Source organism: Homo sapiens, chromosome X (genome assembly GCF_000001405.40).
Source record: "Homo sapiens chromosome X, GRCh38.p14 Primary Assembly".
NCBI lineage: Eukaryota > Metazoa > Chordata > Mammalia > Primates > Hominidae > Homo > Homo sapiens.
In genome coordinates, this window is record NC_000023.11 from 123,423,070 (window position 1) to 123,448,665 (window position 25,596).

The 25,596-nt window shown below is 38.2% G+C and overlaps 1 protein-coding gene across 2 annotated transcripts in view, besides 1 other annotated feature; it reads left to right on the top strand.

Annotated features, from left to right (window-relative positions):
• Positions 1-25,596, top strand: part of GRIA3 (glutamate ionotropic receptor AMPA type subunit 3) — a 306,638-nt gene that overhangs the window by 238,792 nt on the left and 42,250 nt on the right. For both annotated transcript variants that reach the window (NM_000828.5, NM_007325.5), the window contains exon 12: positions 4,872-5,070. In NM_000828.5, coding sequence (NP_000819.4) covers positions 4,872-5,070 — 199 coding nt within the window. The remainder of the gene's footprint in view (positions 1-4,871; positions 5,071-25,596) is intronic.
• Positions 1,515-1,664: an enhancer, noted in NCBI's record as "active region_29908". NCBI's record gives its function as "activates an Ori minimal core promoter by ATAC-STARR-seq in GM12878 lymphoblastoid cells {active_cell/tissue: GM12878}" and the evidence as "EXISTENCE:reporter gene assay evidence [ECO:0000049][PMID:35858748]".

Genomic DNA, 25,596 nt, shown 5'->3' on the forward strand with positions numbered 1-25,596 from the left:
CTCCCCCTGCTGACTTTCTGTGCAGCTGCAGGGACATCTGAGGGCTAGACAAATTGAAGACATGAGAGTTGGGGGAATTATTACAGAGAAAATGGAAAGAACAGATGAACTTGAACCTGATTACTGTGTATAGATGTTTCCAAAGGTGTTACTCTCCTGTTAAGTTTTCAAGATATGAAGTACTTTGTTGAAGAGGGCAGGGGGTCTGTCCAGATTAGTTGACACGTAGATCCTCCTTTAAAATGTAAAGTATGTGCAGAATAATAAAAGACATGAAGGGTATAAAATAAATGAGATCAAAGACAATAGGATTTTTGGCTATATTTTAAGCATACCCTTTCCTCTGCTGATGTATGACCACTGTCTTTATCTTACTGCAAATTCACTTCAAAGTAGTAGTGATGTAATAATAAATTAATGAGGTAATAGCAGAATTTTTATTACAACTACTTCATGGCTTTTCTGGCTAAAAGCTGTAGTTTTCAGTCTTTGGGACATGGTTACTTATTCCCATCAGAGAAGACTGTAAGAACCAAAGATTGATTCTGCACATTTTTTAAAAATCTGCCACAGACATGGCATTAAATGGAGTATAGAAATGATGCATACTTTGGAAGAAAGAAGAGAAAAAAAGGAATGATAAAGAGTTTGTACAATAGAGAAGCAGTTTTCAGTCCCAGCTCTTCATCTTGTAAAGCTAGTAAAGTGAAGATTATAAAATTTACTTACAAGATGAAGGTTATAGCACATAGCTCACTTTTATTATCATTTCAAAGGTCATAAAATATATTTTATTATTAACTCAGAAAATCTAGTTCTTTATTATTACAGATAACAAGAGCATTGTATATTATTTGATGTACGTATTTTGCAGTGCTTTTTATATGTCTGTTTTCCTCTTGTTGCTAATTTACTTTCATTAACTTCACGCCTCCTCTTACATTTCCTCAAAAGGTATGATACGCTTCTTATAATGCACTTTTATAAACACTAAATGTGCAGCATTTTACAGCCATTTCATTACGCTAACCTTGAAATCTGTCTTGTGCAACAAAACTATTTGAAATGAATGTTAAACATTTTGTAGCTGCATTAATGGAGGGAAAGATACTGGAAAATGACAGGTCTTTTTAACTCAACTATAAAGTCTTGTCTTATTTTAATAGATCCTTTATAAAATGTGATGGGATTGACCCATCAGTCACTTTTTATATAACCTCCATGTGAAATGTGAGTTTAAGTGGCTATAGTTTCCCTAATGAGAAAAGGTAAATGTAAAAATGCCTATGGAGCTTCTTCCCTGTAGGTTCCACTGCACTTTTTCTCAGTGAAAGGATTGAGGCGCTTATGCTAAACAAGGGAATAAAGTGGTGGAAATTCCATCAAATCTTTTGTCTAAGCTACTACTGTTTTGAGGCGAGAATGTTGAATGCAAGCTTGTGCATTCCACACTGATTCCACTGAAGCTCCTTTTCTATCTCTGCTGAGGTATGCAGGTACTGTTATAGCATTTTTATGTGGGTAATCACCCAAATTCTCCATGATCATAGGTATATCATGACATTAACCACAAAATTGCCAAAGTCAATAACCATGTAGACAAGAGGCCATGAAAATGACCATTTTGCATTTAGATTTATTTTCAGTCATGTCAACAACCAACAGCTGAGTCATTCAGATCAACCACATGATGATCTGAGTCAGTACTAAAGTGGCCAAAATAACCAGATTATGATGTGCAGGCTTGATTTTAGATCAGACTGACACAGCCACAGTCCATTAGCCTCAATACAATGGCACAGTGTAATTTCCATAAATTACTGTATTTTTCTCCACATTGTCAAGTAGACAATGCATAAACTACCATTAGTATTCACAGCAGCAAAATATACCTCTTTCCATATCAAACTGTGATTCTGGAATTACTCCAAAGTCAGTTTTCTCCTTGGTCTGGCAAAACCTCATCATTCCAAATAAAAATGACAGTCACAGTTCTGTCCCAAATGAACAACAGATAATAAACAATAATTATACAAATATGTTTGGTTTTCATGCCACTATATTTCTCAGTGTTTGGAGAAAATTTGTACCTTCTATAACTTGCACACCATTTTGGATTTTCTTATACAAAATACGGGTATTTTATACTACAAAAATGTGGGTATTTCTCTCCTAGTGTATAAGTTTAAATGTTTTATTTTCTATTCTGCCTCTCTGTGCCTCAGTTTCTTTATCTGTAAAATACCTCTGTTTGCTTATCTTTAAAATAGTACCTAACCATAGGGATAGAGAATTAAAATAGTTGGCACAGGTAAAGCAATTAGAACAGAGTCTGGCACACAAGAAGTGCTCAATAAGTATTAGCTATAATTGTTATCATTTTTCTTCCTCTATTACTATGGATGTTTCTTTGGAATGTTAATCTTTTATATAGCAAAATTATTTCTAGAGTCAGATCAGTTCAGAATAAATTAAATGTATGTGGCAACAATGAAGAAAGACTCTGAAAGGTCTAAATGCATAATCAAAACACCCTGTATACTTTTAGCATTCAGAAGTGTGCCACATTCTTTTCTGACTCATCCAGATGTTTTTACTTCTGATTAAAAGAGAAATGTTCCCAGATGAAATCCTGAGATAGTGTAACTGTTAGAAAAATCTACTGCAAAGCAGATTTTCAAATTCAAAAAGCTAAAAGTGATCATGTTCAGGAAATAAATACGGGTTGTCTCAGGAATCCAGGGACGAACAGGAACTACAGATTTAAAAAAAATCAAGTCAGTTTGTTATAGTTAACCAATAATAAATATTTATCAAAATACCTGCCAAAATTATTCAGAGTGTAGCATCTAAAACAACTGAGTTTTCCAGAGGCCAGAAAAAGGTTACCTTGGGACACAGGAATTTAAATTTGCTTTAAAGTGGTGAAATGCTGGTACAGACAGAGAAGAGCTTGATTTGCCGGCTCTCAGCCCAGAACTACCCTCTTCCCACAGAGCCTGGAGATATGCCAGGCTCCTACGCCTATTCTTGACTTTATGACAGAGTGGGTTCTCTTCCTGTGAGTTTTTCTGGGCATGGGAGAACATAGCGTAACTAGGATGGAGCTCTGCCACACAGCAGAATTATCCTAAGGATGATGTGGCAATGTTTTATAAAACCTAGGGAGCAGATTTTCATTTCTGCAGACAGAGCCAGCCTTCAGCAACACTGTGAAGGAGATGAAGTTTCCTGAGTACAAGCCATTACCCATCACTGAGCATTCAATTCCCTCACACTGTCCAATAACTTCTTATGGTCCCTGTCTCTGAGGAACACTCATGATGCAGGACCAAACTTGCAACCCTGTCTGCACCTTGAGAGTTTTATAAAGTGCTGCTGCTTAGTCCCAACCCCCAGGGTTATGATTTAATTGGTCTTGAAGCCTAGGCAAGGTTTTTTGTCTTTTTGTGTTGACGTGTTTTGACTGAAGCTCCCTAGATGATATTGATATGCAGGCAGAACTGAGAATCACTGATGTAGAAGAACAATGTTTCTCAGTTTGGTCTGCAGACCACTTGCAGCAGAATCACCTGTGATGCTTAAGAAGTGCAGATTCTTGGGCATTCAGCTATTCTGAATCTGCATTTTAACAAACACCTCAGGTAATGCTGATGCACAGTAACATTTAAGAACAAAAATTTCCCCTTATTAAAACTTACCCATCTTCTTTCCCATTCCCTACTAACTGAATAAACAGTGGGTGCTGTTGAAGTAATGTGTTACATTTTGATCAAGCCTCCTGAAAACAACACAGAGCGTGATTCCAATAGAATTTCTCCATCAGACCAGGAGGATGATTTTGTTTTCGTTTTCTGTGTGTGGGGGTGGAAGGGGGTGTGGAGGAAGCAAGCCTTTTGATGCCTCTAATCCCACTATACAGGTAGTTTCCTACTTCACTTGGAGTCTGCCCTGAGTGGTTAAGGCTTAGTTGTCAAAGGAGAAAGTTTCTAATCTCCTGGGCCCCAAAAGCTATTTATATGAAGATGATGAGAAATATTATCATCTAGCTCCTTGCCTTATGGATGACCAACTCCACAAAATAGCAATGTCTTTGTTAAATTTATTAAACTCAAAGTGAATAGTGCTCATTTTCCAGCACCTACCCATTTATCTTCAAGTGAGAAGAGGTTTTTGACTATGTTTCTCTCATGACATTACCTTGTAGCAGTGGTTTTCAACCTTGGTTGCACTTTGTAATCACCTGGTGAGCTTTAAAAAATTTAAATGTCTGTGTCCTACCTCCCAAGTTCTGATTTAATTGGTGGGCCTGGGCATGAGTTTTTTTTTAAGATCCTAGGTGATTTTAATGTGGAGCCAAGGCTGAAAACCATTTGCTTCTACAGGTGTGCCCAGCAAACTTCACAGGAAGAGAACTCAATAAGTTAAATTATTACCTGTGGAAGCAGGAGATGGTAAAAAAAATATATATTTTTTCCTGTAATTAAAAGGAAAAATCCTGCTAGGAGTGCACTTGTAGTCCCAGCTATTCAGGAGGCTGAAGCTGGAAGATAGCTAGAGCCCAGGAGTTCAAGTCCAGTCTGGGCAACATAGAGAGACCTGACCTCATTTTTTAAAAAGAAAATCCTGCTTTGAAACGTGTATAGGCCTGACAAGTATTATGCATGCACCATCATAGTATGCCATCATGACATGGGGTATTGTTGTTAACATGTGACCTTTGTTTAATGTTTTAATTCCCTCACATCATCTATTTCCCTCCTTCATCAGCTATACTGAAACCACTCCTCTTTCCAGAAATAAAGAAAAGGATTTCTTAAACTTAGATCTGGCCCCTCTGGGTCTGGATTTGTTTTTGTTTTGTTTTATAGATCACTCTCCGGGCGCATTGTTGGAGGGGTTTGGTGGTTCTTCACCCTGATCATAATTTCTTCCTATACTGCCAATCTCGCTGCTTTCCTGACTGTGGAGAGGATGGTTTCTCCCATAGAGAGTGCTGAAGACTTAGCTAAACAGACTGAAATTGCATATGGGACCCTGGACTCCGGTTCAACAAAAGAATTTTTCAGAGTAAGTGCTCTGCAGTTAATTGAGCCTGCTGATATTTATTTTATCATCTTCTCACAAAGGCAAGTTCACAGTGCTTTTAAGGGAGAGTTGGGAAAGAGTGGGAATGTTATCAAAGGAGAGCATCTTAAATACTGGGCTGCTTGGTTGGTGATCTACTCCATTGTCGTTTAGAACCAAGACTTGAGTAAGACATAACAAGCTGCATGTCAAGGGCACTGAGTTTGGACTCCCAGGTTTGAATCCCAACCCTGCCACAAAGTGATTGTTTGTCCTTGGGCAAGCCATTTAACTTCTACCAGCTTCAGTCCCCTCACTTGAATAATGAGGGGATTGAACTAAATAATATATATTCTGCTTTCTAGCTTTTACAAAAGCAGTGCTTTTATGTCTCAGAGGTTCACAGAAGTTAGGCAATTGACTCTAAGACTGATGAGTAATGGACTATAAGAAATTACATATTCTATTTTAAATGTTAGTTGTCTATTGAGATGTATTACAATTGTATCAAGTATTTGTGTACATGGTGATAATTTCATTTTCAGGACAGCTGATAATTGTTTTAATTTCTTGGGTAGACGTATTCCCTCAGCTCCTCATAGGCAAAATCTTATTGAGGAAACAGTAAATTGTTCATTAGCAAAAGTTAATAAAGCTATGTAAAGTCTGTCAAGAGGAAAGATGAAAGGAGATTGAAGCAGGAAATGATAGAAGGATAATATGAGGGACAAACCACTTTCACATAAACCATCAAGATCTTTATTCTGTGGTAACTGGACTATTAAGGAAGAATACTAGTAGAGTTTTTAAGAACTAAAATGTTTTTTCAGTTACCCCAACAAGAAAAATATGCTAATTTAGATTAGAAAATGGACACATTCTATAATATTACTACTGCCTGCTACTGTAACCACAGTAACTAGTTGTAGCAATGATCCAGAAGCCACTTGGGTAGTAGGTGGAGTAGTTAGTCACTCTCTCCAACCAATAATCAAGTTATTGGATGACAGATATAATTGCTGATTTTTCCTCAAAGGCCCAGAGTAAACAGATGGTGGTTCTAAACCTCCTTTTTAAATAATCAATAAGAAATACATTTCTACATGTATTATCATGAGATTTGTCCAATTACTTCACAGTAAACCAGGAAGAGTACATTTCTTGACATTACAGCAATTAACTACAAACAGTTTTCACTCCCTGAAAGAGAATGTATTAGTCCTGGGACCCTTTCAAGAATTCTCATTGATTCAAGATATCCATATCTCACCTATACCACCTGTTTACTGACCAGATCATAATCCCCAACTGGGAGGAGGGGTCCAATGTTGGTCCAATGAAGACCCTCTGGAACTAATCTGGCCTTGACCCTCACTACTATGGCAGTCCCAGAAGCTTATTTAGAAACAATTTTCTGCCCCCATGAAATCACTCACATTTATCGGGGCTAGAAGCCAGGGATTTCCATCTGATGAGTAGTCAACACATAACCAGCTCCATGGAAATCTGGTTTGATATCAACCTTCAACAGAGCTTATGATAACCATCCCAATAGGCATGAAGTTTCTATATGAAGTAATTAACCACTTAGGATATCAAGACACCAGAAGCTTCTATATGAAGTAATTAACCACTTAGGATATCAAGACACCAGACTTGAACCCTCAGATAAGAGATACTTGTTCCACTGGAAAGCATTTTTCTTTCAAAAACAATTAGAGGTTAGAAAGTTGTGCTTTAAATGGTAATCAATAAACGGCATCAATTCCCATTAGGCTTTCAAAGGCCATTCATCCATATTGCAGGCAAAAGGAGGCTCTCTGGAAAGATGAAGAGATTTATTAGCCCAGAGGCAGAAAGTGTGACCAAATATTCATTGCCCTCATGCCCAGACCCCATCTCCCACTTATTCTGTGTCTTTCTCAAAAACTAGGAAAGCATCTACTAAATCATTCAATCATGATTTCATTAAAGGGCATCATATTACCAGAGCTGATTTGAATCAACATTTAATTCTGAGCAAAGCTATTGCCACATTCTGATTGGTTTGTGGTTTCTAATGCTCATCAATTCCTAGCCAATGAGTAATTCATATGGAAATTGAGCTGTTTTGAAAATCTGATTACACAGGGAGCTGGATATTTCTAAGTATAAGGAAGTACAAATCATTTTCTAGTTCTGGCATGCCACTTTTTCTGTTTCCCCAAATGGTCACTGGTGGCATCATTAAGGACTTGGTGGGGTGGTTCTTCAGGGCAGCACACGAATGTTGATTATCTAAAAGTGGAACTATAAAAGCAGCATAGAAAAACCAACTCCTTTAACCTGCTTATACTGAAAATGTTATCTAGACCCAACAAAGACTATCTTTGATATTCGTGCAATACAGGGTTGTGGGGCCGGCAGCCAATTGGTCTCCAAGCCATTTAAATCCAATGGGGCAAAGAAGGCAGCCAGCAAGAGCACATCATCCTTTATTTAGGGACTTGACTGCCACAGTCATGTCACTTCCCCTTCATTCTTCAGTGATGTCAAGTCATAAAGGCAATTTTAAAAACTAACTCCTGGCCAGGTGTAGTGGCTCACACCTGTAGTCCCAGCACTTTGGGAGGCCGAGGCAGGCAGATCACGAGCTCAGGAGATTGAGACCAGCCTGGTCAACACGGTAAAACCCTGTCTCTACTAAAAATACAAAAATTAGCTGAGTGTGGTGGTGCATGCCTGTAATTCCAGCTACTCGGGAGGCTGAGGCAGGAGAATCGCTTGAACCAGGGATTCAGAGGTTGCAGTGAGCTGAGATCTTGCCACAACACTACAGCCTGGCAATAGAGTGAGACTCTGTCTCAAAAACAAAAACAAAACAAAACAAAACAAAAAACAGTAACTCACATACACACACACACACACACACACACACACATTGGGGATCTCTGATAGCATGCCTTATGAACTTCAGAGGATGAAACAAGATCACATGCAACATTTACAAACATAATATGAACTCATTTCTTCCCGTGCTCACTCTATACTAATACTACAGGGACCAAATTGTAATAACATAAGACAGCCTAGGGCCAGCCCTCTAGTCCTTCCACTAAGAGATAGGAATAAATAAAATAAAATTCTTTTCTAATTGCCCTGCAGACATTTTTACTTGTCCTGAGTAAAGCTGCCATTAAAATGATGGTATTTTTAAATGATTCATTTGTTTCTCTCATTTTCTGAGCTTTCCCTAGCTGTCATCTTACAATCCCATGATCAGTGGAACAGAGGGACCTGTTCCGTCAGGAAAGGCAGGGAGCAGAATGCATGCTGCTAGAAGAGACACCTGGAATATTACTATCAACTCTCTTGATTTGAAAACTGATTTCCTTAGACAGCAGCTCCAAAACTATATATCCCAACCAGACGTAGAAGCACATATGCCAAAAAAACAAGTGGACGGCTTTATTGTTGTTGCCCAGAGAAATGCTACAATGATTTGGAAAGCTGCACTGAAATGACCATTCTCCACTAGGTTTTGGAAATTTAACCTGATACAGATTCATGTTAAAAGGTGGCACTGGAAGAAAAAGTAATTCCAAAGTTCTCTCTGCCTGCAGACCTTTAAAAGTATTAGAAAATAACCAGGATGCTGGATTTCTTTTTTTGTGAAAATTGATATTAATATTTTATTAAGATGCATTCAAATAATTATTTATACATTTATATGCATAAACACCCAAAACATTTTATACATGGAATCATATAACATAGTATTCTCTTGCCATTATTTGTTTGTTTTTTAAAACTCAAATAAGTATAGATTTACTTTTTTTTTTACTTCATAGTATTTAACTTTACTTCAACTCTATTATTTCCTTTATCAATTTCCTCTTGATAAATGTTTAACCTTTTGAAAATATTTTGGTGTTAACAGTGGTTCAATAAACATTATTTTCCATTGATGTAATAGAATTATTTTAAAATGTTTTTAAATATTTGCCCTTCAGTTAGATCCCTTAAAGCACTTAGCCTGTGATGTGACATAAGCCATGTAATGCCCAGCTGCAGACAAAGCTGGCTTCACAAAGTTACAGAATGTAGTAGGCACCTGGCTAAGGAAAACTCTACCCCACAAAATATTTAGCCCCCAGTAGGCACTTTAACAGGAATCACATTTTTTCCCCTTTTTACATTAAATGTCTGATGGTGGAAGAAGGGGACATGTTTGTTCTAAAGTTAATCCTAATGGAAAAGTTAATGGTCCAATATTTTATTTATACCATAATGGACAATTTTTCTCTTTCTCATTTGCTGAACTTTATGCAAGGCTCTTGTGTTTATTTGGGCACAACTCCAGAGGCCTTCATTCTTATTCTCACCTGACTGGATGGCCCAGCCAGGTCATGTATAACCTGTGATATGCCTGTGCATATACCTGTGTGCGTAGGCTGCTGAGGCCCTGGTATTTGGTTTAGTTTGTTGCTTACTTTGCCGTTGCTTGGTTTCCTGATTCTCTAAAAGAATATAAGGCAGAAAAATCCCAGAGAGATGTTTCAGAGTTTCAGAACAGTACCGTTGAAGATACTAGTCACACTGAAGTTTACAAAAGTTACATATAAGAGAACAAAGACTTCTTTCATCATTTAGACAGAGTTGGTTTGACAAAGGTTTTCAGCAAATCACATCACCAAATAAGAAACTAAACTTGCTGACTTAGCCTATTGCACTAACCACTAAACTCAGCTTCCTCCCTTAGCTACACAGGGAAGAAACACAGGGGGGAAAAATGCCACCCTTTTTGAAACAAGCAAACTTTTGGAAAATGGCCAGGTCTGGAGGCTGACTTGTATAGTGCATCATTTTATGAGATGTATACCACACCCAGAAACCTTGCAGAAATCATCATGACAGAGATGAGATAATCTCAAAACTTTCTGATTTTATGTGGCGATCATTTGCCATGCTGGTAGAAGGTTTTATGAGAACTTAAATGCTCTCTTCTGGAAATAGGCAGTAATTCTAGAATCCCAGAAAATTTAAATCCATGTCAATTTGATATGTTTGGACAGTTGACAGGGAAATAGTACTGTTTTAATTCCATGTATATAGGGCATAAAGACACATATTAAAATAAGAAATAAGGACCAGATCAGAATGAAGCACCATAATGTTAATGAAAGCAATAAGTTCAAGGGATAATTTTATAAAACTGTCATTAGAGTATTTGCCAAAGAGAGAGTTGCATTATCTCTATCATATCTCTTATTTCACTATACCAGAGCCTGCATAACTGCAGTGATTATTTTAGGACTTAAGACAAATACTTTATTTATTCTAAGAACACATTGATATACAACTTATATATCACATATAAGAAGTCAATTGTCTCTTTTTGTATTAGTTTTGATCAGTTAGCTGATGAAGTCTTTGAGTCTTACCCCAATGCCGGATGCCAGATTTCTTTTCCAGATACTTGGCCATATCCCCATTACAGAAAGTTTGGGGGATAAAAGGAATTCTTTTTTAAAAATGAAATGTTTAACATTAATTTAAACCTCTTTAAGAAAGTAAATATAAAAGAAGAGGAGTAGAGAGAGTGGTGACTTGCTCCAGTGCCCTAGGCAAGGCAGAAGAATTGAACTTTATTAGGAGACCACTAAGGGGACTGTCCTGCCTCGTGAGTTACAGGTATTGTAAGCCCTGTGAAGCACAGCTGAATTACTCATGAAGAATGTTTTGTCTCAACACAAGACTCTGATTATTGTCTTGGTCATTATAGTTTTTCATTTTTTTTAAGCACAGGCAGCGAAAGGAGGGGTTCTGCCATGCTGATTTGAAAAGGAGTCCCTGCTAATAGCATTTCGATTCTGCTTACACATTCACAACCACACACATACACAAAGCATTTTCAACTGGGTCTACATTTCTTCAATATTTATTGGCTATCTATAACAGGGCTTTTGAAGTATATGCAGGAAGGGAGAAAAATCTTTCCACAAGCGCACCTATGCAGGGTATGCTGACATTTTGACATAATCCAGAAAATCAACCATTAATCTTTAAGCTTTATTATAATTGAGCTATGTACACAACAGACCTCCCTGACACCTTAATCCATCCCCTTGCCTTAGGAAACACATCAAAATGTAAAAATCTTTTGTTAAAAATTTTTCTCACCAAACACCATGGTGAATTTAAGATCTTAACAGACAATATACCTGGAAAGCTGCAGCCAAATTTTATTTGTTTGAAGACACATATAATGTGACCAAATGTTTGAGGATACATCCAAACCATGCACTAGGGGAACACATAACAGCAACAGCAACAGATGAGTTGACACTAAGGGTAGTAGGTCAGGGACATCTGCTGTACATACTACTTGGCAGTTTAAAAAAAAGAAAACTGTCTTTCAATTTTGACATGGCTGTTTTGATGCTGTCTTATTTTTTTTTAAGTCTTACTTTCCTATGTTATATAATACACAGCAAGAGCCATAGACCTTATAGGTCAAGACTGGAGACAGAGCAACAGCCACAGGTGAGGATGCTGAGGCCTGGCCAAAAAGGCCTCTGGAAAAGGGAAAGATGCAGTAAGACCACCGTTGGCTTTTCCCATCCTTCAGCAGCTAGGAATCTGTGGCTCCATAGCTCTTCCTTTCAGGCAAGTCTCAGGCTGGCTGGAAAGGACAATCTCCAAGAAAGTAGAGGTTGACCTGACAACTATGCACGCAACTGAAAACACATCTAATATCTGCCTCCAAGAGAAAGGAAAGCATTTAGCAATAAAGACAAGCTAATAATATGCCTGATATTCCATTATTTATTCAGCAGTCTTTCAGTAACTTTTGAGCCAAGCTTCATGCTAAGCACTGACGATCATACATCTTATAAACAAAATTAAATTCCTATCTTTTGCCAAATTACCTGAAAATACCTAGACAGGCTTTTTCACCATATTTGGAGACAGATTAACTTAAAATATAGGTATCTCACATAACTAGATGACTTTCCCTCCAGGGAAGCTGGTGGTGTTTATTTCTATGGAGCTACTTCCCAGCATGGGCCAATCTCTGGGTATGCTCCATGGTGACTTAGCAGCAGGGTTAATGATTCCCTGTAACCTCAGTAGGAAGATCAGCTAGTTTATGAATGAAACAGAAATGGCCTCTACCCTCTTGGAGCTCACAATCTAGTGGACCATTAATTTTCAACACACATTCACATACATTACTACACAATCCACACAACAATCCTGGGGCAGCCAGAACAAGTATCATTACACCTGTTTCATAGAGGAGACAAATGAGGTACATGACATTGTGATTTGCTGAATGTCACTCAGCTCAATGGAGAAAAGCTGGCACTAGGATCCTGATGCTCTGAGTCTCTAATGCAGCACATGTTAAGGCATCTGTATCATCTCCCGGTTGATCTATGTTTTTATTCCCCTTGATAGATCAATTAGAAAAGGAAATCTATGCCTACTTTTAAAAGACACTTCCCATGCTCTGACAACTTCAAAGGGTTCCAAGATAAGAAGGCAAAGAAAGGCATCTATAAAGCTAGAGTGAATGCCATAAATGGAGCAAACCTCTATTATTACATGGCTTGTTATAGTTTCTGACGTGCTAAGGGTTATGTCATGTGTGTAGATGAAACTAGAAAGAACAAGAGAAAGATGAATTGTTTCTAGTTCCACATCCACTGATGACTTTCTTATTTTTCTTTGGGTAAAGAATATTTGGTCTCAGTTTCTTCATTTATCAGGGAGAATATTCCTTGCTCTACTGTCCTTATGGGGTTGGTGAGAGGCTAATATCACAAAAGCTCTTTAAAAGTATGAAGGTGTCTACAAGTCCCAAGAAACATTAGGAAAAGGGCCCAGCAATAGAGCAATTAAAACCTAAAGACTCAGGGGGAGGGAGAGCATCAGGATAAATAGCTAATGTATGCAGGGTATAATACTTAGGTGATGGGTTGATAGGTGCAGCAAACCACCATGGCACAAGTTTACCTATGTTATAAACCTGCACATCCTGCACATGTATCCTGGAACTTAAATAAAATAAAATAAACCTAAAGACTCTCCAGACACAGTTCTGTAGAGATGTGAGGGGTACTTCACAAAAATAAAATAAGATAATCTCTCTGCTTTCTTGATGGAAGAGATGTGGGTTTGTTTTTTGTTTTTGTTTGTTTGTTTGTTTGTTTTTCTGGCTTTGGGAAGAGAAAGAAAGCTCATTCAATATTTTCCCCATCCTCTTGATCCCACTTCTACCCTTAAATATAAAATATTACTATTGTGCTCATCTCCTAGTTGATTCATCTTTAGCTATTCCTTTGTGGCCTGCAGATTCAACAACTTCAATATGCACAATTTAGAGCTGCCCTTGAAGACCATCTAGAAACTTTAGGTGCTTCCAAGGTGGCCTGCCGGCCATCTGCCCAAAGTAACCAACCATATGGATTTTATTAAACTATCTCCATTAGTCCTCCAAGGTAACCTACTTGTTTATGAGAGCGTTTCACAGCCCAGAAAGCCTAAGGGGGTTAAGTCTCCATTCTTTCTGAGGCTGCCAACTCTCACAGACAGCATCAGGGTAATTAACATCACACAGGACCCCCAGATCTTTGTAAGAACTCTGAAACTCTGTTTCCTAGAAGAACTCATCTAAGGATCTCACTTTCTTTTCTTATCTGACACAGTCAAATCATCTAATAGCCTTCCAGTTAAAGGAATGAGGCCCATCTCTTCAATTAGACTTTACTTGAGTTCACCTGGCAAGCCTGTGTAGGTTAATTATTTACAGTCCTCCTTCATGCAGAAGCCTAAAAACTTGACCGTAAGGATCAAGTAAAATTCGACTTACGAAAACTCAACTAACAAGGACAATTAACTGGAATGCTTGGTTGCACTCCACTTTTGAAAGGAAAAGGCAACTTAGACACACAAAAACTTGATAAGAATTTTTTCCCCAAAAGCCTACTAGATGATGTCCTGCAGTCAGATTCATTCTAGTCTTCAACATCATTCACACTTTGGTCAGAGAGTAAATGTATTGAATGTTTATCATAGCAATTTAGGCACCAGGTATACAGTACAGGAAACATTGACAGAACCCTTACCTTCAAGGAGCTTGCATTCTGTTGGAAGGAGACAAACCATAAACACATAAAAAATAGATGTATAGAATAATTCCAGGTACGGATAGGTGCTCCAGGATGCTATAATAAAGAATGACTTAGGGTTAGAAAAATATTTTAAACTGGGAGCTTGGGTTGGATGGAGGGTTTAGGGAAAGACTCATTAAGGAGGTAACATTTTATTAGAGACTTAAATGATAAGAAGAGGCAGCTATGTGAAAATCTGATGGAAAAGTATTCCAAACAGAAGTCATGCGAAGTACAAAGTCCTGGGGCAGAAACAATCCTGGAATGTTTAAAGGAAGGAAGAAAACCACTGTGGCTGAAGAATAGTAGCCTACATTAGAATTATAGTGATGGAGACTGTGTGAAGGAATCAGATTTATGATTCATTTTGGAGGTAGAGTCACAGAATTTGCTGATGGATTGGATAACATTTATGAGCAAAAGGAAAGAGCCAAGGATGACTCTCAGATTTTGGGCCTACATCCCTTTTCAGTAATCACTTATGAAATCTATAGTCACAAGGGCTGAAAAGGTATACTAGGACTGGTTAAGAAATTTTCCAAAGCGTTGGAGAACGTTAGCTGTCTGAAGGGAAGATTGCCGTTGTTATAACTGTTTTAAACACATCTATTGAGATATAATTCATATATCACACAATTCATCCATTTAAAGGGTATAATGGTTTTGTTATATCACATTATTAGTTTTTTTAAGTTGTGATAAAATATATTTAACAAAACTTGCCATTTTAACCACTTTTAAGCACACAATTCAGTGGCACTAATTGCATCCACAATGTTATGCAACCATCATTACTAATTCCAAAATATTTTCATCACTTCAAATAGAAACTCTATAACCATTAATCAACTTCTCATTCCCTCTTCTCCCAGGTCCTGGAAACTTCTAATCTATTTCCTGTCTCTATGAATCCACCTATCTAAGTACCTCATATAAATGGAACAATATGTCCTTTTGTGTCTGGCATATTTCACTTAGCATAATGTCTTCAAGCTTCATACATGTTATAGAGCTTCATTCCTTTTTAAAGGCTGAATAATATTCCACTGTATGTATATGCCACATTTTGCTTATCTATTCATCTGTTGATGAATACGTGACTATTTGTGAATAATGCTGCTATAAACATTGGCATACAAACATCTGTTCAAATCCCTGCTTTCAATTCTTTGGATATACACCTAGGAGTAAAATTGCTGGATCATATGTCAATTCTATGTTTATCTGCTATAACTTTTTTTTTTCCAAGATGGAGTCTTGCTCTGTCACCCAGGCTGGAGTGCAGTGGCACAATCTCAGCTCACTGAAACCTCTGCCTCCTGGGTTCAAGCAATTATCCTGCCTCAGCCTCCCAAGTAGCTGGGATTACAGGCGCATGCCACCACGCCCAACTAATTTTTGTATTTTTAGTAGAGATGTGTTTTTACCATGTTGGCCCCTGACCTCGTGATCTGCCTGCCTCAGCCTCCCAAAGTGCTGGGATTACAGGCGTGAGCCACCGCACCCGATCTGCTATAACTTTCTAAAAGTCTATTTTGAAATAAAATAGATGAGGGCATCTTCTGTTCTGTTTTCTTCTCATTCCTGTTTAAACAATCTCAGTCTTGAGGCAATAGATGTTTCTGCTTCAGTAGGAAGAGGGATGCTGGATAACTGGTGTTGGGGGCAGATCTGTAGTTAATATCACAAAGTTTCATCTTGATATCATGAATGAAGTTGAGGAGGAGGTATATGTATGTATGCATGTGTCAAAAAAGATCTAAAGCCTTGTCTACACCACACATTTATACAAAGCCTTGGACATTTTAGTTAGTGGCCCCGACTTTTAGCAAAAACTTAGGGGAGCATGCTTCCCTTTTCTGTGTTTGGGTTGCAACTCTGGTGCCTCAGCAGGATTGCACTAGCATGCAGGCAAAGGATGATAAAAATGGAACTCATTGTCCTCCCTCTGTTTTAAATGGTTTAGAATGTTACCTGTTGGAAGAGAGGGGCTTGGATAGAGATAATCTATTGCATTTCTCTCCAGTCCTGATTGCATGAATCTATCTATAAGCTGCCCTCAAAACTGATCTTCTATCTGTATACTCTGTGGTGACCTAATGAAGATGTCCCTGAACGTGGTTAACTTCTATGCCTAGAGAAATCTGAATTCCAGAACTGAGTCTTAATTCCCAGTTTTATCAAAATTCTTATGTGTTTATAGCCTGATTTATTTGACTCTCAACTTTACTTCCTTTGAGTCTGGTCTGGGTTACAGACTATTATTTTTATGAGAAATATTTTATTTTGTTTTTTTTTTTAATTAAGGTATGTTACAAATAAAACTTACATATCCTGTCATTCTTGGCAATATGAATTCACCTTGAGGGCATTATGCTAAGAGAAATAAGTCAGGTATTGAATGAATTATCTAATACCTAAATCCAATAAGCAAAAATAGTCTGTTAGTTATCTCTCTGTTAGGGGTATGCTTGTTACACTCAACTCATATTCTTGTTCTTTTTTTTTTATTTATTTTCATTTTAGGTTTGTGAAGGTTTGTTATATAGGTAAATTTGTGTCAAAGGGGTTTGTTGTATAGATTATTTCATCACCCAGGTATTAAGTCCAGTACCCAATAGTTATCTTTTCTCCTCTCCTCTCCCTCTTCCAACCTTTCATCCTCAAGTAGACCCCAATGCCTGTTGTTCCCTTCTATGTGTTCATGTGTGCTGATCATTTAGCTGCCACTTATAAGTGGGAACACATGGTATGTGGTTTTCTGTTCCTGCATCAGTTTGCTAAGGATAATAGCCTCCAGCTCCATCCATGTTCCCACAAAAGACATGATCTCGTTCTTTTTTATGGCTGCATAGTATTCCATCGTGTATCTGTACCACATTTTCTTTATCCAATTGGTCATTGACGGGCATTTAAGTTGATTCCATGCCTTTGCTATTGTGAATAGTGCTGCAGTAAACATTCATGTTCATGTGTCTTTATGGTAGAATGATTTATATTCCTCTGGGTATACACCCAGTAATGGGATTGTGGAGTCAAATGGTAGTTTTGCTTTTAGCTCTTTGAGGAATTGCTACACTGCTTTCCACAATGGTTGAACTAATTTACACTCCCAACAACAGTGTATAAGTGTTCCCGTTTCTCTGCAACCTCACCAGCATCTACTATTTTTTGACTTTTTAATAACAGTCATTCTGACTGGTGTGAGATGGTATCTCATTGTGGTTTTGATTTGCATTTCTCTAATTATCAGTGATGTTGAGCTTTCTTTCATATGCTTGTTGGCCGCATATATGTCTTCTTTCGAAAAGTGTCTTTTCATGGCCTTTGCCCACTTTTTAATAGGGTTATTTTTCTCTTATAAATTTGTTTAACTGCCTTATAGATGCTGGGTTAATACCTTTGCCAGATGAATACTTTAGAAATATTTTCTTCCATTCTGTAGGTTGTCTGTTTGTTGACAGTTTCTTTTGCTGTGCAGAAACTCTTTAAGTTTAATTAGATCTCATTTGTCAATTTTTGCTTTTGTTGTGATTGCTTCTGGTGTGTTTGTCACAAAATCTTTGCCTGTTCCTATGTCCAGGATGGTATTGCCTAGGTTGTCTATCAGGGTTTTTATAGTTTTGGGTTTCACATTTAACAGACTATTTCTTGTATCAGTCAGTAACATTGATTTTCCAACCCACTGGGTAAAGAAGTCTGTCCTGGACACTCTGGGAATAAAGGAAATGCCATTCATACTGAGCCCAGTATGCAGAAAATAAAGAAGACAGGTGATTTCATCAGGAACAGTTTCTAAAAAAGAGGGCAATTTAAAATTATTTGGAGGGAGAAAAGAATTCAAAAATAGTTCAAGGGGGATGTGAGAATATTTTTGTGGCCAAGAAAGAAAAACAATGAACAATAAGACCATGGCTTTATATCACATTAAACCATGGCCACTATTGACTAAGGTAGTTAGTTTTCTCTAGTGTTCACATTAAGATTTGTTTGTGAGAAATAGCATATGTATATAAATTTGGGGGAGAAGGATTTAGGAGAGATAAAAACAATTAGTTTCTGAGAAAGAAATTATTGCTTTGGAACAACTGTATCATAGTAGAAATCAATATATAGACTGCCAAGGGTAAACTGGGAATCATTCCTAGAGATCAAGGTGCTCTGGACATGGTCTTATTTCTAATTTTAAAACTTACATTTTGCATGTGAAGGTGAGGTTCATTAAAAATGTGCTCTCCAAAGAATACTTTGCTTTCCTTTAAATGAGCTTCGGGAATCAATGTTGAAAAGCAAAATCCATCTACACTTTTGGCATACAATATCAAATGAAAGAGGATTTTATAGCAAATCTTTCATATTTAAAAGCAACCTCATTACATTAGACATTGTTTCAAATAAAATAAACAGCCCCTTTCCTGAACATGCTAGTATGAATAAGATAATCATAAAAAGAGTCAAATTAAAGCCCCTTTGCCAAGAAGTTTGAAGTTTGATTTCCAAATGTTTGTATTCGCCACCTTCCTCTGAACACACACACACACACACACACACAATTAAGTACTTATGATTAGCATATTATTGAAGTTTATTATATATGAAAGTCAGAGAGAATAAACTGCCCCACCAGCCAGATTCTTAAAAACACTTTTGCTCCATTTTCTTGGCCTGGGATTTCAGCCAACTGTACAAACAGGAAGGTTGGGAACACCATGGTCAATAACCAAGGAAAAATATAAATAAATTCAAGGAGACTTGGATAAATTCATACAATACGGATACGTGGAAAGTTGTTAAAGTTAAGGGACAGGTACTTGAAGGACACTTTCACGAAGGACACTTTCACTTTTAGAGTTGACATCCAGAAGACAACCATGGCTTCCCATAGTCCATAGTCCTGTCTTAAAACATTCTTATCTGGAACTGCCCAAAGAGCAGACCTATAGGGACTAGCCTATAATTTTTTACAAGATTGTTTACAAACACAGTTGTTTCTCAGTTCGCAAGAATTGAGACTATTTAGCCTGAAGAAGATATGTAGCAGCAGAATATATTAGAATTGTCTTCAAAAATTTGAAGGGTAGACATTTTAAAGATCGACTGGACTGTTCCGTGGGGCCCCAAGGGACAGAACAAAGATCAAAGAGTGGATATTACAGGGATAGAGATTTTAGATCAATGTAAGAAGAACATTCTAATATAGCAATCCATAGATAAAATGAGCTATATTCATAGATAGTGAGGTGTTCATCATTGAAGGGACTCAAGAATAGGCCACTTATCAGAGATGTTGAATAGAGGACTCAGTAATCTGATGAATGACTGTACTCGACCAGTGTTTTCCAACACTGTGTATATAAAATCATTTGGGGCACTATTTTAAAACATAGACTACTGGGTCTCATGCCCCACCTCAAGATGCTAATTCCATGCATCTGTGTTTTTCCAATAATCTGTGTTTTTAAAGCAGCATCCTAAATGATTACAACACAGGTAACCAAGAGCCACTCTTTGATGAATATTTGACGATTTTCTGCTTTGCTTTTTTTTTTTTTTCCCTATGCAAAGGATGCAGCGGGGAGGCTGGAAGTTGGGCCTGTGGTGTAGAGAGAAGCCTGAGTAGAAGTAGCTGGGGCCTGTCTGACATGAAGTGGTGTCTTGAGAGTGATCACAGCTGACTGGCTGAGGTCAAGCCACCCGCTCTGTGTGTTCCTGTCAGGGATTGAGAAAAAGGAAAAACCTTTCCTCTAATCAACAGGGACCAGTGGGAGATAATTGTTTCAGGGGCTGGAATCTGAGGTCGAATTGGCACTGTCGCATTGATGCTTTGCCAAAGGTTTAGGGAGCCCCAAATGAAGATCTCTATAGGGAAGCTCAAGTAATGGTATCTGGCTGAAGACTATGAACAATAACACACCCTGAAAACTAAAAGTAAGAGCAAAATTAAACTGCAAAGAGAGAAATCATGGCCAAAAGCCTTGAAAGGTTTACAATTTTGATCTTCTTCTCCTCTGATCCAGATAATGCCCTTCCTTTTCCACTGCCCATTTACTGGGTGAGTCTTGAGTGACCAGGACTGTTGTATTTATGTCTTTATGGATCTTTCAGAGAGCCCCCTGATTCCTATCCTAGAGGACTGCAGGTGGCCAGGTCCAAGTGCTGGTTATCAGTGGAGATCTTCAATTAGTATGACCTAGGTAAAGGCTGTGGGTAAAAGGAACTTCTTAGAAAAATATGGAGCAGATGACAAATATATATCAGGAGCCTGGAAACTCCTGCCCTTTGGAGAGAAGCTCTCTCCTACTTTCCTTTACCCGACCCTTACTTCCTTTTCTCTTTCCTTCCTTTACCTGCTGGGTCTTGGGTATTCAGGACTGTTATGTTAGTGTCTGTACAGAGGCTTCAGGGAAACTCCCCACAAGCACTCTTACCTGAAAGAATTTAGATGAATAGCCATAGATATTAGTCAGCATGGGAAAATAAGAGCCACAGAACCTGGAAAGAAGTAGGGACATAAGCAACTTCATAAAAAGAAAGAAGAAAATGGAGTAGAGGAGCAGACTGGTCAGGAGCTTGGCAACTTATGCCAACCTAAAGAAGCTGTCCCACTGGCCCTTTCTGAGACCTAAGGGTCTCAGGTGGTGAGGACTTCTATGTTGGTGTTTTTACAGAGGTTTTAGGATGGACAAAAAGAAGAGCTACCCTTCACAAAGGAAAGTTCATTAAAATATGGTTGGAAGCTATGGGCAAGAGAAAGGTCCTTAAAAATGAAAAGGGACAGAATGAGAGATTGCACCAAGAGCTTTGAACTCTTAACCTTTAGCCAAAGATCTCTCCTACTATCATGTTATCCCTCCTCCCCCTCCCTCCTTCTTTGTCCTTACACTTGCCTTTTATGATGAGGCAGCTCTACTATGTGACTGCATTTTGGAGGCTTCAGAGAGCCTCATGCCTCCAAGTTCCCAATCTAGAGGACTGTAGCTGGGTAGACATAAACCTGGTTACCAAGAAGAGCTCAAAATTAGGAGGATGTAAATGTTATCAGGAAAAGAAACAGATTTTAAAACTGATACAGAAGGAAAAGAACCAGGAGCCAGGAAATTCCTGCCCTGTAGCCAGAAGCACAACCCTAATGCACAACTCCTTATTCCTTACTCCCTTTCTCTTTGCCTATTTGACCTGCTGGGTGTGGGCATTGGGTAATCAATGCAGTTGCATTCATTTACAAAGGCACTGAGGAGACCAGGGGTCCAACCTTCCCCACACAGAAGACTTGTGGGTGGACAGCCCCAAGTGACTGAATGGCAGGGTGAAGCCTCCTGAGAGTAAGTGGAGGTGATCTGTGAGGAGAATATGAGCTGCATACCCTCCTTTAGTATCTTTACCAGCGAGAGTTAGTGAGGGCACATCTTTAAGAAAAGAGTGGTATGGTAGATAGTACCCAGACTGAAGTGCTAGCTCTTAGGCCTAAAAGAAAGAAGTAGGATTTCTGTAATCCTTTCTCCCTCCCTCTCTTCTTCCCTCCCTTTTGTTAATTCTACATTGCCATTGCCATTTTAACCTGCTATGGGTATTAGGCAAACAGAAGTGTGATCATATTCAAAGGCACCTATCCATGGAGTGGGCATAAGGTATCTTTTGAATACAGGCACCGGGGTGGCGATAGGAGAGTTCCAATTCTCAAGCAGGAGAGAAATGTTTTCCAGCCCAGAGGGCAGATTGCCCAGCCTTTATCTACATCAGCAGTTGGGCACAGTTGATCAATTTTCGAATCAGTGCAGGCTTTGCTGATTAAGGCTATATTATGGACATTGCTCAGCTTCATATGTGGTTAAGCTGGACCTGTTAACAAGGTACATAGAGTATTTCCACCACAAATTATTTGGATATCTGATGGATATTTAAGAGGAGCCATCCCTTCTTTCTAACTTTCTTTGGAGTGCCATCATCTCCCAAACATAAGGATCCTGGCTTCTGCAGAAAAGAGAACTCTGCCCTTCCCCTCCCTGGAAAGTAATACTCCGCCTTTTATGAAGACCAGATCAGTTTTTATAAGGCTAGGGTTCAATATTTTTTCACTCTTTTCTACTAGGACCCTTGCTATTACCATGGATACCTATTTTGCCCCTTGACACTTTGGAGATGCAGTACAGTATCCATTGTACCAGGATCTCCCACCTTGAAGCTCTTTTTACTGGTTTTTTGTTGTTGTTGTTTGCTTGTTTGTTTGTTTTGTCTTCCAGGCAATTTCCAGGCTTGCCTATCTTCCAGACCAAAGATTACCAAAAGCTAGTTAAAAATATTTGTTATCTTTAAGGCTTTCCCTTTCTTCCAAAATCTTTGACTATACAACACAGCAGGACCCTGCCTTAAGTAATCCATTAATCAGACAATTCACAACTGATGAAAGCAATAAATAGTAATTACTCACATTGGAAACATAATCTTCCCTAGAAAACAGAGATCCCTTAGTGCATTTAGTGCATTTGGGTGCTAACAGATCATTAACTACTTGTCAGAGAAACCTAGGAGGAGGGCTTTCAGAAATAAACATAAAACAACCTATGCATCAATAGAAAAATAAAATTTGATTTTCAAAAACGAATCTAATTTATGGCACAGCTTTTTTTTAGGAATTCCCCTGTTATATAACGGAAGACATACTATTTTCTAGGCAAAGCAGCACAAATCAGGGAAAGGAACATTTAAAAGTGTTGGAAAACTTACTTGCCTATGTTGAGCCAATCTATGTAGGTATGGTTACATCATTCTAGAAGTCTGGTAGTCAATCTCGGAGTCTCCTTTACACACACTGGTCATTTTTTCAATACTTTTGGATCCATGTCTTCCTAATGCTGGGCTAAATATTCAGCATGTGCCATGTTGCTAAAACAGAAACAATGAGAAACCTAAATGTTCTGCATTCCTTGATTTTGAGTTTAAATTTGTAACGTTATTAATATTGCATTAATAACCTATTTTGCATATCTGTTTGATTGTACCATCTTAAACATTCATTTAAACCTGGGGAGGTCAGCATGACTCCTACCTGCTTCTCACTAATAACATGCTTTTCAGCGAGTAGATAATGAGTGACCTGGATAGAAATCAGTGGAAATGCAGATTGCCTTCAGGTGGAGAAACAGGCAGGAAATCCACTTTCTCCACAACACTGACAAGCAGTTTTGAGGCTGAAGGTAGAGAAAGTAAGCCTCAAAGAGAGATGACTGTTTAGGAAGGCTCTTAATCAAATATTCTGTTGTCTTTACATGTGGTAGTATGAAGGAAAAGTCATCCTAATGGAAATTAAATCTTGCAAGTGACTTTAAAAATCTTGGGTTAATAGAAATAAGTGATTTAATTATGGAGAGAAAAACAGATAACTCTTGGCTACTGATTATCCTAATGGGTTACAGGCCTGAATAAGCATTCCTTAGTTCGTTGAATTAACTACTGTTAGTGGCACACAGGTAAGGATAGGGGTGGGAAGTAGTGGGCAGTCAAAGGTCTGCCATTGATTGATCAGAGCTGGGATAGAAGGCAATCAGGTGAGTCTTAAAGGAGAACCACATAATTTTTTTTAAGTATTAATGGCCCACTCCACTTTTCTGGAATAACAAAATATATTAATAATAATGCCCTTGCTCAAGATATAGAGGGCCTGTTTTTCAAGTTACTGTATTTCTTTGGTAATAACGTACTGGCACAGAAACAGGGACTTATGTGAAATGTATTTCAAACCAATGTCTGCTAATAAATTATCCCACAGGCCATAGGTTTCACAGGTATTAGAAAATGCATGAGATTTGGGCCGGATGCAGTGGCTCATGCCTGTAATCCCAGCATTTTGGGAGGCCAAGGCTGGCAGATCACTTGAGGTTAGGAGTTTGAGACCAGCCTGGCCAACATGGTGAAATCCCATCTCTACTACAAATACAAAAATTAGCCGGGCATGGTGGTGCACACCTGTAATTCCAGCTGTCTCAAAAACAAAACAAAACAAAAAAAAACACAACAAACAAAAAATAATACATGAGATTTGGAAATGCAACCTGGGCTTTCAGTTTCTCTCTTCTAAGTTCTTTACGATTCAACATGGCTTCCTTCTGCAGTTTGACTATTTATCTTCACTGAATAAAGGTGATAGCTGTATCAGAAACTCAAGTCAAACCAAATAATGGTGTGATTTGTTTACTTTGGAGGGTTTTCAGACTTTGGTTTTGTTTCTGTTCGACGGTGGTAATAAAAACATAGGTCTGAATATAAAACAACCTAGTTTTCTACTTGATTCTTGAAAAAGAAAAAAAACTTTGCTTCAGCTCATGAGTCTGTTTCTTATTTTTTGTTTTCTAATGGAGTTTGACTTGCAAATCTGCAATTTGGCAGCATTTATTTCTGTTTGGGGCTTTTGGTATAGCTTGGCTCAAGTCCCTGGTTACTGTATGACAGCAACCAAGCCAAATGGCTGTAACATTCAATCTGCCCAATTAAAAAGCGTTGGTTCCATGCCCCCTTTGGTGACTCAGATCAGGCAAATTTACTGTTGTTTTAATCTTGATTGTACTCAATTATTCAACCCATCTCTCAGAGCTGATACAGATAACTATTTTTTAAAAACCTTGGGGAATTGTGAGTGTTGTCACCTGGCTGCTCACTCCTTTTGGAATTCTTCCCTTGGAAATAAGAGTCAGAGAGAGTAGGTCTAAACAACTTAATGTAGCAACTCACAGAGCCAGAAAAAGATAATCAGGCTACGTAGAAACTTAAGGAGTGCACCTTTTGTTTTTTCCACAAATATTTTCTTCTATCTGCTCTTTTTGAAATAAAGTATGGTTCTTAAATAAGAACAGCAAGAATATTCTTCCATGGAATACCTAGACTCAGGAGTTCATTTATTTTCAATTTTACACAATTAGGATAAATGTAAAGGAAACAGTTTCTGCACGTGCCTAAGGAATTCTTGCCCATACAAATAACACAGCTTACCTTTCTCTAGAGAGGCTTCCATGAGCACAGGCTGGGGGAGCTATTCCAGAGCTACATACTAGCTCTGAATAGAGCAGAAGTTAATTCCCCAACCTACCCCCCTGTCTCTCAACCCAGATGATAGCCAGCCCTCCAAATGGTGCAGGCAGGATGTCCATTTGATGTAGTCATCACCTCCATAATCAGAGTAAACTAGAAAAATATTATAAAATAGGGAAAGTGGTTCTTGGTGCTGTTTTCTGCCTTTTAGTTCCTCTCTGCTTTTCCTTAAGCTGTAGACCTATACTGTCCAATATGGTACCCACTAGCCACGTGTAACTATTTAAATTGAAAATAACTAAAATTAAAAGTAAATTTAAAATTCAGTATTTCGGTAGCACTAGCCACA